General features: G+C 46.7%; 2 annotated features.

Annotated features, from left to right (window-relative positions):
* Positions 2,266-2,325: a silencer, noted in NCBI's record as "silent region_3691". NCBI's record gives its function as "represses an Ori minimal core promoter by ATAC-STARR-seq in GM12878 lymphoblastoid cells {active_cell/tissue: GM12878}" and the evidence as "EXISTENCE:reporter gene assay evidence [ECO:0000049][PMID:35858748]".
* Positions 11,108-11,157: an enhancer, noted in NCBI's record as "active region_5153". NCBI's record gives its function as "activates an Ori minimal core promoter by ATAC-STARR-seq in GM12878 lymphoblastoid cells {active_cell/tissue: GM12878}" and the evidence as "EXISTENCE:reporter gene assay evidence [ECO:0000049][PMID:35858748]".

Genomic DNA, 11,754 nt, shown 5'->3' with positions numbered 1-11,754 from the left:
TACCGGGTGTTTGCCTTGCGTCCCCACACGTGGTTGACTCATAACCTAAGTTTGAATCCCTAATTTTCACTTTAAATAACTTCAGCTACTCGGGATGCTGAGGCAGGGGAATCGTCTGAACCCAGGAGGTGGAGGTTGCAATGAGCCGAGACTGCGCCACTGCATTCCACCCTGGGTGACACAGCAAGACTCTGTCTCGGGAAATAAAATTAAATTAAATTAAATCAAATCTTCAAAAATATTGCAGTACAATGCAGCACTGAAACAAGAAGCTGTTGTGTATGTGAGATTTCCTGTCCCACATTGGGCAATGCAACTGAAGGCAATAGAAACCAGGACATTGCTCAGAATATGCCATAAAGCTCCACCATGCTAAGAGTTTAAAAAAAAGAAAAGAAAAGAAAGAAAGAAAAACAGAAAACCAAAAATAAAAGAAGAAAAATAAAGCTCCACCGTGCAGCTGGAGATGTTAGCATGAATAACCTCTAGATGAACATAATCTATCAAAAGGTTTTTGCTGTCAGAAGAAACAACAGAAAGTAGAATCAGACCCAGACCTGTCAAAATTATCAGAATATAATATAAAATAAGCATGATTAAAGGATTAAGAGAAAATATTTAAAACATAAAGAACAAGAGATTATAAAATGACCAAGCAGATTTGGAAAGACCTAAATGTAATTCCAGAGATGAAAATATATTAAGTGATACTAACAGATGGTCAGACATGGCTGAAAATTATGTTGGTGAACGGAAAGACAGATCTGAGCTATGGCCCAGAATACAGCACAGAGAGACAATGGGAGACAAGAAGGAGCTGCCAAGAGGCATGAGGGGTGGAGTAAAAGCTACACTGTATGGTCCTAGGAGCTCCAGTAGAAGAGAATAGAATAGGGCAAAGGCTAGATCTGAAGGGGAAATGGCTGAGAAGTTTTTAGAACAGATGAAAAACATCAATCCCCAGATTTGGGCATCCCAAAGAATCCAACCTAGGATGAGTGATAAGCAATCCATAGCTGGGGACATCATAGTGACACCATACAATACCAAGAGGTGTTTTTAAATGTACCTGGGATTTTGTTTTAATCAGGTACATTAACATGACAGACATGGAGACAGCTGCCTTAAAAGAAGTTTATTACTTACAGTTCCCAGGAGCAGGGGGCATGCCATGCTATGCAGTCTACATGAGGAAGGACGAGGGTTGGTCAGGAGGCAGAGGGAGCAGGGGAACACAAGGGGAGACTTTACTATCACTACTATTACTATTGACATAGTAATAATAGTAATAAAGTACCATAGTAGTCAAGACTCTCCCCTTGGTGGTGGAAAGTTAAGTGAGGGTGTCTCCTATGGGGCAGAAGGCAAAACACAGATGTTGGGGGTTGTGGCCAGAGGGTTTGTGATATGATTTTTGTGCACCCATGAAAACACAAGGATAGTAAGGATAGAAACAAGCCTGGCTATAGTTTGGCTCATGATTTCAAGATACCAAATTACAGGACATCAAGAATGATTATTACAGTGGAGTGTAGCTTAGAAGCAGCCAGAGAGGCAAGGTTGGCCCACAGCTGACTTCTCAACAGCAATGGATGAGCGGAAGACAGTGGAATGACATTTTTAAGGTGCTAGAGTGAAGTGACTACCTAGAATTGTATACTCAACCAAAAATGTTTAAATAAAGACACATGCTAGAGGTTTCTCTTGGGAACATACCTACGAGTATATACGCTTAGCTGAAGGGAATATGCATCTGGCTTCATGGACGCTTCCAACAATAGCTTAGTTGGGGTTCCTTCCAGTTGCTTCTGTGAAATTAAAGAATTCAGACTTAAAGCTGTTGGAACTGTATTCAGAGCCTTGAGAGGAACATGGCTATGCAACTTGAGTCACATGGAATGCAACTGCAACTTCTACCTTTTTTTTTCCCTATAAATAATTAAGAAGACCAAACGACTTCAGAGATAAGAATCCCTTGAATTTCTACCCCTCCTCATGGAGTAATAAAGTATTTTCCTTGGAATGCAGCAATCTGTAACCGATCAAGTCACTGTACGCACTGATCGTGTATGAAAAATGTTGTAATCCTGCTGAAATTTCTCTGTCTCTGCCTATGTAAGAGAAATCTTAACTTCTCCACTTTGAAACAGTGACCCCATTTGTTTGGAGTCAGTGTTGCCCAAGTGGCTATCCTCATGCTTTGGGCTCAAAGAATCTCTACATTTAATCATAGTTTCTGAATCTCACTGTTTAAGGTTGACACTTCTCATCCTCACCAACACGGGCTTTTGAGTGCTTGCCAAGCTGGTGGGTGAGACATAGTGTCTCGGTATAGTTCGGGGTTGCATTTTCATATTGACTTTTCTTATGCTGATTGCCTTTGGGGTTTCTTCTCTTGTGAAGTACCAGTTGAGTCTTTGGTTGTTTCTTTTTCTTAGGAATTTGTAGGCATTCTTCATTGTATTAACCATTACTTCTTTTTCCTGTATTCTGATGCTTTGACATCTGGGAACGTGCTGACCCTGGAGGGATGGCCCCTCCCAGGATTAGCCAATTTCTAGAAATGAAGTCATCTGTGAGTGCACCTTTCAAATGTAAACCAACTAACTAATCCAGAGCTCACATTTGCAACGACCTCTTCTATCAGGTTCTCATACTCAGGGCTACCATCCTCCTGCCATAATCACCCCAGGGCCAGGTACCAGACAGGCAGGGACAGTCCCTGTGCCCCAGAGCCTGTAACATTATTCAAACTAGCCCATCCTATGCCTACTTGCCCTGCCTCACTCGTTTTTTCCTACAGAAACCACAATCAAGGCTCTTGCCCACACTTTCCCCTTAGTCCCTATCCCTCCAGACCAACTCCCCTGCTTCCCTGTGCCCCCCATCCACCCCGGGGTGCAGCATGTCCCCTCCCCTGCAGATCTGTGAGTAACAAACTATCTTTTCAATAATGGTTATCTCCTGATCTGTTGGCCTCATCATATCTGAATAATAATAAAACCTATAGCAGCCGGGCGTGGTGGCTCACACCTGTAATCCCAGCACTTTGGGAGGCCAAGGTGGGTGGATCACGGGGTCAAGAGATCGAGACCATCATGGCCAACATGGTGAAACCCCGTCTCTACTAAAAATACAAAAATTAGCTGGGCGTGGTGGTGCACGCCTTTAATCTCAGCCACTTGGCAGGCTGAGTCAGGAGAATCACTTGAACCCGGGAGGCAGAGATTGCAGTGAGCTGAGATCATGGCACTGCACTCCAGCCTGGTGACAGAGCGAGACTCCATCTCAAAAAAACAACAGCAACAACAAAAAAAATTTTTCTTCATACAAATTATTTGTCAGTTCTAAGCATTGCAGTATCTTCTCCCAGTTTGTAGTTTGTCTTTTCATGCTTCTTATGGTGTTTTTTGTTGGTTGGTTGGTTGGTTGGTTTTTGAAACAGTCTCGCTCTGTCGCCCAGGCTGGAGTGCAGTGGCACAATCTTGGCTCACTGCAACCTCCACCTCCCAGGTTCAAGCAATTCACCTGCCTCAGCCTCCCGAGTACCTGGGATTACAGGCATGTGCCACCATGCCCAGCTAATTTTTGTATTTTTAGTAGAGATGAGGTTTCGCTGTGTTGGCCAGGCTGGTCTCAAACTCCACACCTCAAGTGAGCCGCCCGCCTAACCTCCCCAAAGTGCTGGGATTACAGGCGTGAGCCACCGTGCCTGGCCCTTACCATGTTTTTTGATGAACATAAACTCTAAATTGTAATGTGGTCAAATTCATCAATTGTACTGAAGGCCCCAACTGGGACAATAAGGCAAAAAAAATAAACTCATAAAGACTGGAAAAGAAGACAAAATCCTGTCATTATTCACAGATAACGCAATTATCTATGTTGAAATTCCAAAATAATCTACAAACAAGTTATTCAAAATAAGAACAGACTCTACCAAGGTTTCGAGTTAGAAAGTCAGTGTGGGAAACTCAGGAAGAAAGTACTGCCCATTACTGTCTCTTGAGGACCTGAGGCTTCATCTCTACAAACACTTCCCCAATTACAGAAGCCAAGGGAGGGACATGTGGCATGTCCCAGACAGCTCTTAAAGCTTCTCTCAGGAGGTGACACACCCCACTATGCTTGCACACCATTGGCCAAAACAAGTCACGTGTTCAAGCCTAACAAATGTGATTGGATAGTCAGTCCCATGATTAGGTTACACCATATAAGACTCCATCATAGCCAAGTGGAGTGAGATTCTTCTGCTGGTTTTGAAAAAGTGAGCTACCATACTGTGAGAGAAGAGGCCACAGGTTAGAATCTGAGGGCAACCTCTAGAAGTTGAGAGTGTCTCCAGCTGACAGCCAGCAATAAAACAAGGACTTCAGTTCTACACCAAAAGCAACTGAATTCTGTCAACAACCCCATGAGCTTGGAAGCATATTCCTCCTCAGAGCCTCCAGTTGGGGACCACAGTCCCAGCCGCCATCTTGATTTCAGCCTTGTGAGAACCCAGGCAGAGAACCTAGCCAACCTGGACTTCTTGCCCTAGAAAACTGTGAGCTAATAAGTGGGTATTGCTCTAAGCCACTAAGTTTGTGTAATTTGTTATACAGCATAGATGACTAATACAGAATTTGGTGGAGATTGGAAATCCTACCATGTGCCTGAACTATTTAAAGCTGCAAATACTGTGGTAAGAACACTAATGATCACCATAGGCTCCTACCTCATACCTCACCCAAAAATCAGTTTCAGGGGTTTAACAGTTAAACATCAAAGGCAGAACTATGAAACATTTAGAGGACAATACAGAGTAACATCTTAGAGCCTCGGGGGCAGGGACATCTTAACAACACATAAAAAGTACCAATCCTAAAGGAAAACAATGGACTAATTTGGTCGATGTATTTTTAGGCAAATGAAAATTAAGATGTTTGCACTAATTAATGCCAATAAAGACAATTCCAAAGGATATATTTCAGGTCAAAGAGAAATTACCACAGAAGGAATATGTAAGGTGCAAGAAAAGATTGTGTGCAAAGAGCATGGGGAACATTTGGGGAAATCTAAGCAAACCTGACCAAATAAAACAAGAAAAGTCAGGTCTGCTTGTCGAAGTCAAAATTAGAAGTAAACTGTATTAGGTCCGTTCTCACGCTGCTAATAAAGACATACCCGAGACTGGGTAATTTATAAAGAGAAGAGGTTTCATTGACTCACAGTTCTGCATGGCTGGAGAGGCGTCAGGAAACTTACTGTTATGGGGAAGGGGAAGCAAACACATCCTTCTTCACGTGGCAGCAGCAAGGAGAAGTGCTGAGCAAAAGAGGGAAGCCCCTTATAAAAACATCACATCTTGTGAGAACTCACTCAGTATCAAGAACAGATGGGGGAAACCGCCCCCGTGATTCAAGTATCTCCACCTGGTACCTCCCATGACCTGTGGGGATTATGGGAACTACAAGATGAGATTATGGGAACTACAAGGCACACAGCCAGACCATAACATAAACGATATAACACAATTGCATATAAGTCAGAAGAGGAGAGACAGGAGATGATTCTATGATTTTGTACCATTTGGAAGAAGCATGAAATATTGATTAACTTCGACCTTTACAAGTTTAGCACACCTGGTCAAAATTTCAGATCAATTTAACAATTTGTCCCTGCCAGGTCCTGCAGATCAAATTCTTCAACTATGATTAACTCCTGAAGGTCAAATTCAGATTTTATTTTTTAGCAGTTTTATTTTTGAGGGCATTTTCGTTTCACCTCTTCCAATGGGTAGATGTTTCTTTCATGATACACCACAGCCTATTATTGTTAAGGCTTCAAGCCTCCCAGCCACTGACCTCTTCAAGCAAGGTAAGTTGTTATCTGTGGCCCCTGAATGTTCCTCACTTCGCCAGTACTTACAGTGAGTGGTACAACATCAATGCAAAGATAGCTATTCAGAGAAATTGCCAATTGTCATGGGCCTCTGAAAAGGGAGCTTTTTCCACAAAATCCAACATTTCCCTGGAAACATGGCTTCACCTTCTATTCTTATGATTTACAGAAGTCACAAAGAAAGCACCTACTGCTATTACTGGAATTTCAGCTCATAGTGTGGTCAAAATCTATAATTTCTGTTGTGATGTATGCAAGCATTACTTTGAATGGCATCTGACAGAGTTTGGTGGTCCAGGTCATTACTGGCAAATCAAGAGTCCTGTTTCAGCCACAAAATCAAGTGTCATCGCAGCCATGCTATGGAGAGGGAAATATGGGTTTTGGGTAATGTAGATATTAAAATATATTGTAACCGTGAGACCAGCTCAAACTGATCAACCATTGCGTAAGTTGTTACTGGTGATGCAGAGCCGGAATTGCCCAGGCGTGCACAAGAGAAAACACTTTAACCTCCTGTTAATGCTGCCAGCCTGGCAGACCAGCTGTGTGGGCATCAACTGGGACTAGTTATAAATGCCATAAAAGCTCCACCCACCCCAGATCAGAGAGACAGATTTGAACACTGCCTCCTGTCTCCTTGCCATTGACTCACAATAAAGCTCTTTCTTTTTTCCAAAAGCCTGTGCCATAGTATTGGATAGTGAGCCCACCACTCAGTAACAATTTGTTGGCCTCATATTTGGCCAAATGTATATGGCACAACTGATTTTAAAATAATCCTTTCTGCCGGGCACAGTGTCTCATGCCTATAATCCTAGCATTTTGGGAGGCCAAGGTGGGTGGATCGCTTGAGCCCAGGAGTTCAACACCAGCCTGGGCAACATGGCAAAACCCCATCTCTACAAAAAATACAAAATTTGGCCAGGCATGTTGGTGTGCACCTGTAGTGCCAGCTACTAGGGAAGCTAAGGCAGGAGGATTCCTTGAGCCTCGGACGCAGAGGTTGCAGTGAACCGAGATCACGCCACTGCACTCCGGCCCAGGTAACAGAGGAAGACCTTCTCTCAAATAATAATAATAATAATGCTTTCAATTCCCTTTTATTGCCTACATCACAACAATTTTCTGTTAACTAATATGATGTTTTGACTTTTGGTCTTAGTATGTTTTAGTACAAATATTCAGAGACAAATTTTTCATCTAAGAGACAAATTATTCAGTTGATCCAAAATTTCTAGGGTCACCACCATAAGAACAGAAATTGAATATATAAGTTCCAAAGTAGTGGAGGAGGAGAAAATAAAATGAGAAGAAAAATAAACAATCTGGGCCAGGCGCAGTGGCTCACACCTGTAATCCCAGCGCTTTGGGAGGCCGAGGCGGGCAGATCACAGGTCAGGAGTTCGAGACCACCCTGGTCAACGTGGTGAAACCCTGTCTCTACTAAAAGTGCAAAAAATTAGCTGGGCGTGGTGGCAAGCACCTGTAATACCAGCTACTCAGGAGGCTGAGGCAAGAGAATCACTTGAACCCGGGAGGTGGAGGTTGCAGTGAGCTGAGACCGTGCCACTGCACTCCAGCCTGGGCAACAGAGCGAGACTCTGTCTCAAAAAAAAAAAAAAAGAAAAAGAAGCAAAAGCAATCTAAATGAAGCTACAAAAAGAGAGAAAAGACTACCCATGGGGCAAACTCAAAGAGTGGAAACAAATCCCCCAAAGTTATGTTGAACGTAATGGCAACCACCCAGGCCTGGTCAGTGCTCTGAACTTGACCTAGAGAAAAGACCTTCCGCCTGCTGCCTGCTCCTCGTCCTTCAGGTTGCAGAGTTCATGCCGCCTTCTCAGAGAGGCCCCTGCTGACCTCCCTGGCTGAGCTCGCTTCCCATCTCTTTGCTTTCATAGTGTGGTCCTGTTTGGTTAGTGCAGGCCATCCCCGCTACATGCAGATTCCACACTTGTGACTATGCCCACTCGCTAAAAATGCATGTGTAGCCTCAAATCAACACTCTCAGTGCCTCTAGCCACATATAGACATGTGCAGGTGGCAAAGCGTCTGCACTGCTTGACGTCCATGTTCCTAGCTGAGGCTGAACCAGCCGACACACAGCCTTCTTGTCTTGGCTCTCAACCTGTTGTACTGAAACAGGTGTCATTTCTGCGATGTACTTAATGCCACTTTATCCACGTGTTTGTGCATTTTGCTTGTGATTCTACCACTTAAAGTGCCGTCTAATGTTCCTAAATTGGAAAGGCTGTGACATGCCTAATGGAGATAGACTTGCGCTAGGTGAGCCTCTTTCAGGCATGAGGTATGGTGCTGCTGGCCATGAGTTCAGTGTTAATGAGTCAGCCACAGATAGAAAATGAGGTGTCTTCCAACAGAAACACACATAAAACAAAGGTACGTATTGATCAGTTGGCAAAAATGTAGCCAAGGCTTGTAGGAACCTAACTGATAAGGTTTGGCTCAGGGGCCCCACCAGGAATGCATCTCCTTCTTTGTTGTAGCCAGTTTCTAAGATGGCTTCCATATTCCTCCCCACTGGTATCCACACCCTTGTGTAGTGCCCTCCCTCACTTAATAAGACTGACCTCTGCAACCAATAGAAATGATGGGGTGTGATTTTCCAGGCTAGATGATAAAAGATGTGGCTTCTTGGATCACATGCTCTGGGGAAAATCAGCCACCACGTTGTGAGGACACTCAAGCATTGCTGTGGAGAGGTCTCCGTTGCCAGGAGCTGAGGCCTCCCACCAGTTTGCCAAACACATGAGAATCTGCATTTGGAAGCAGATCCTTGGCCTCAGTCAAGCCTTCTGATGATGCAGCCCAGCCAACGCCTTGACCACAACCTCATGAGAGACCCAGAGCCAGGACTGCCCAGCTAAGCCACTCCCAAATTCCTGACCCACAGAAACTGTGTGAGATAATAGATGTTTCTTCTTGTGTTAACCCATTAAGTGCTGGGGAAATTTGTTGTGCAATAATAAACAACTGATACATACCTCTTTGGTTTTTCAGAGTCCTTCCCTTCCTCAGAAGCCAGGGTCAAGCCCACCTCCATTCCCACTCCTGGGAAGACTGCTCTGAGGGTTGGCCACAATTTTACCCTCCCCTGGGCCCCACACAGTGAACTTGACATACACTTTGGTACGGTGTCCACTCCCATAACCTCAGGAGCCCCTGAGGACAAGACCCTGCTGGCTCCCTCATGCCCCTGAACCTGGACCATTGGTACAGGAGTGCAGATGATACTAATGATAGCATCAGAGAGCAGAGCAGACTTGGGACTCCTCAGCAGGAGAGTGACTGGAGCAACTCCTGCCTCTAGAGAGAATGAGAATTTGCTTTTGCCAGGCCCTTGCTACGCAGAGGCAGGGTCAAGGTACACACTTGACAAGTATCCCACTGACTCCCTGGGCAAGAGGGTATCCTTGGCATCCCCATCCCACCGACAAAGGCAGCTTCAGCTCATTGCCCCAGGTCACTCAGCTCGGCCATGTCTGACCCAGGACTGGAACCAGCTGTTGGCTCCAGTGTCCACCCAGCCCTGCCTGCCCTGTCTTGGGCACTGCCACTTCTGCTTGCTCCTTGATGCCCCCATGCTCCAAAGGCCTTCATTCCATGCACCCACACGCGTGCACCAAAGCTGGGGGCTCACACTACCAGCACAAACTCAGCACACCCACCTGGCCCCACCCCAGGCCTCTGATGTCACCAGACCTCCAAAGCCAGGAAGAGATACAAATGCATTGAAGTACAGTCACAGGGGAACACACGGTGACAAGAGCCACACCCTCCACCTGGAACCTAAGCCACTTGGAAGGCCACGCAAGGAGGAAGCAGGGCAGAGTTGGGAACCTGAGACCAACCCAGAACCTATTCCTGTATCAGCTCATTCACTCACTCACCGTTCACATGCAAAGTCCCTGAGCACCTACTGTGTGCCAGGCACAGTGCCAAGCCCTGAAAATGCAGCAGGGAATGCAACAAGCTCTCCTGGGCTTCCAGCCCTGCTGGGAGAGAGACTGTGAGCTAACCAAGCCCCAGCTCTCCCTGGACATGTCAGGTGCCTGTGAGTGAGTCTTCGGCCTCTCTAGAGCCTCAGTTTGCCTTCTCGAAATGCGGAGTGATGGCAAGCAGTGGCTCTCACCCAGGGGACCCACAGAGGGACATTTGGCAATGTCTGGAGACATATTTGGCTGTCATGCTGGGCAGGGCTTGCGGGGGGTGCTACTGGCATCTGGTGGATAGAAGCCAGGGATGCTGCTGAACATCCTACAACATACAGGACAGCCTCCACAAAGAATTACCCTGTCCAAAATGTGGATAGTGCCACCACAGTGGAGAAACCCCAGCTTGGAGGGATTGGTGAGGCTGCAGGTGGAGAGGCTGCAGCACCAAGCCTGGCAGCTGGACAGTCCCTGACAAAGGTGTGTTCCCTTCTCCAGCCATTCTTGAGGCCCTTGCTGAGACCAGGGGACCCTGAGCCCTGCAGGAACCCAGGCCATTGATGTATACACAGCCTCTCTGCCTGTCCACCAAGGTCCCAGGGCAGGGCCGTGTCGGTGGAACCCACGGCCAGCTCACGGACAGGAGGAAAGCAGGCCAGGCCTGTTCCTCACCTCTGCTGGTCCTGGGTTTCTCGAACTCCCATCAGGACTCAGGGTCTCCCCTCCCACAAGGTCCCAGCAAGGCTGCATGCAGCCTGCACTCACCCATCAGTCCTCGCTCCTGCCGCACCTCCCCGGCCGCCAGTGCCATCCAGGCCTCCCCAACTGAGGGGCAGGATCTTCCTTCCAAAGTTGGGCAGTCCCAGGCAAGTGTCCTCCCTCTCTGGGTCTTGGTTCCCCACATAATGGGAATCAAAATAACTGCAGCCCCAGGTCACGGCATGGGCTTGGGGTGGGACCTGAGTGTCCCTCCTCAAACACAGAAGCTTCCTTCTGACCACCAGCGCTGCTCTCTGTGAGATCACATTAGTTTGTTCTCATGCTGCTAATAAAGACATACCTGGGACTGGGTAATTTTTAAAGGAAAGAAGTTTAATTGACTCACAGTTGCACATGGCCAGGGAGGCCTCACAATCATGGCAGAAGGCAAAGGAGAAGCAAGACACATCTTCCATGGGGGCAGGCAAGAGAGAGCATGTGCCGGGGAACTCCCCTTTATAAAACCATCAGATCTCATGAGACTTATTCACTACCACAAGAACAGTACAGGGGAAACCACCCCCGTGATTCAATGATCTCCACCTGGCCCCACTCCTGACATGTGGGGATCATTACAATTCAAGGCAAGATTTGGGTGGGGACACAGCCCAATCATATCAGGGATCCTAACCCCGGAGAAAACAAAGGGTCAAGCACTGCTTTTTCTGCATTGCATTCACTGTGGGCTTCAGACACAGCAGAGTCAGGAGGACTCCTGTCCTTTGACCTGAGGCCAAGAGCCTGCTCTGACCCCTTGTCACCCTTCCCAACTGTGCCCAGGTCAGAAGTCTGTGCCCAGGCCTGCTCCTCCTGGAGGCCCCTCATCCCCAGTAAGAGCCCGCCACGGACTAGACATGTTGGGCTACACGGGCCCTGCACCAGGGCAGTCATCATCTTTACCAGCACAAAAACTCCCTCGATGACAGGGCCTCAGCAGGCCCCAGCCTTGACCCTGGCTTTCACGGTCCATTGGGTTTTGTTATAATTTACAATTTCCACTAGATGGATGGTTCCAAGTTCATTCACTTGTGCCACAAACATTTATGGGACCACCTACTGAGTACCGGGTGCTGTGGACGGGGATGTATGTGACTCACAACTTCATCGGGGCATGGAGAGTCTGTCCACCACCGTCAGGAGCATCGTGAGGAGTTGA

Source organism: Homo sapiens, chromosome 11 (genome assembly GCF_000001405.40).
Source record: "Homo sapiens chromosome 11, GRCh38.p14 Primary Assembly".
NCBI classification, from domain to species: domain Eukaryota; kingdom Metazoa; phylum Chordata; class Mammalia; order Primates; family Hominidae; genus Homo; species Homo sapiens.
The sequence above is the reverse complement of the archived record's forward strand: the minus strand, read 5'-3'. Positions and strand labels throughout refer to the sequence as shown.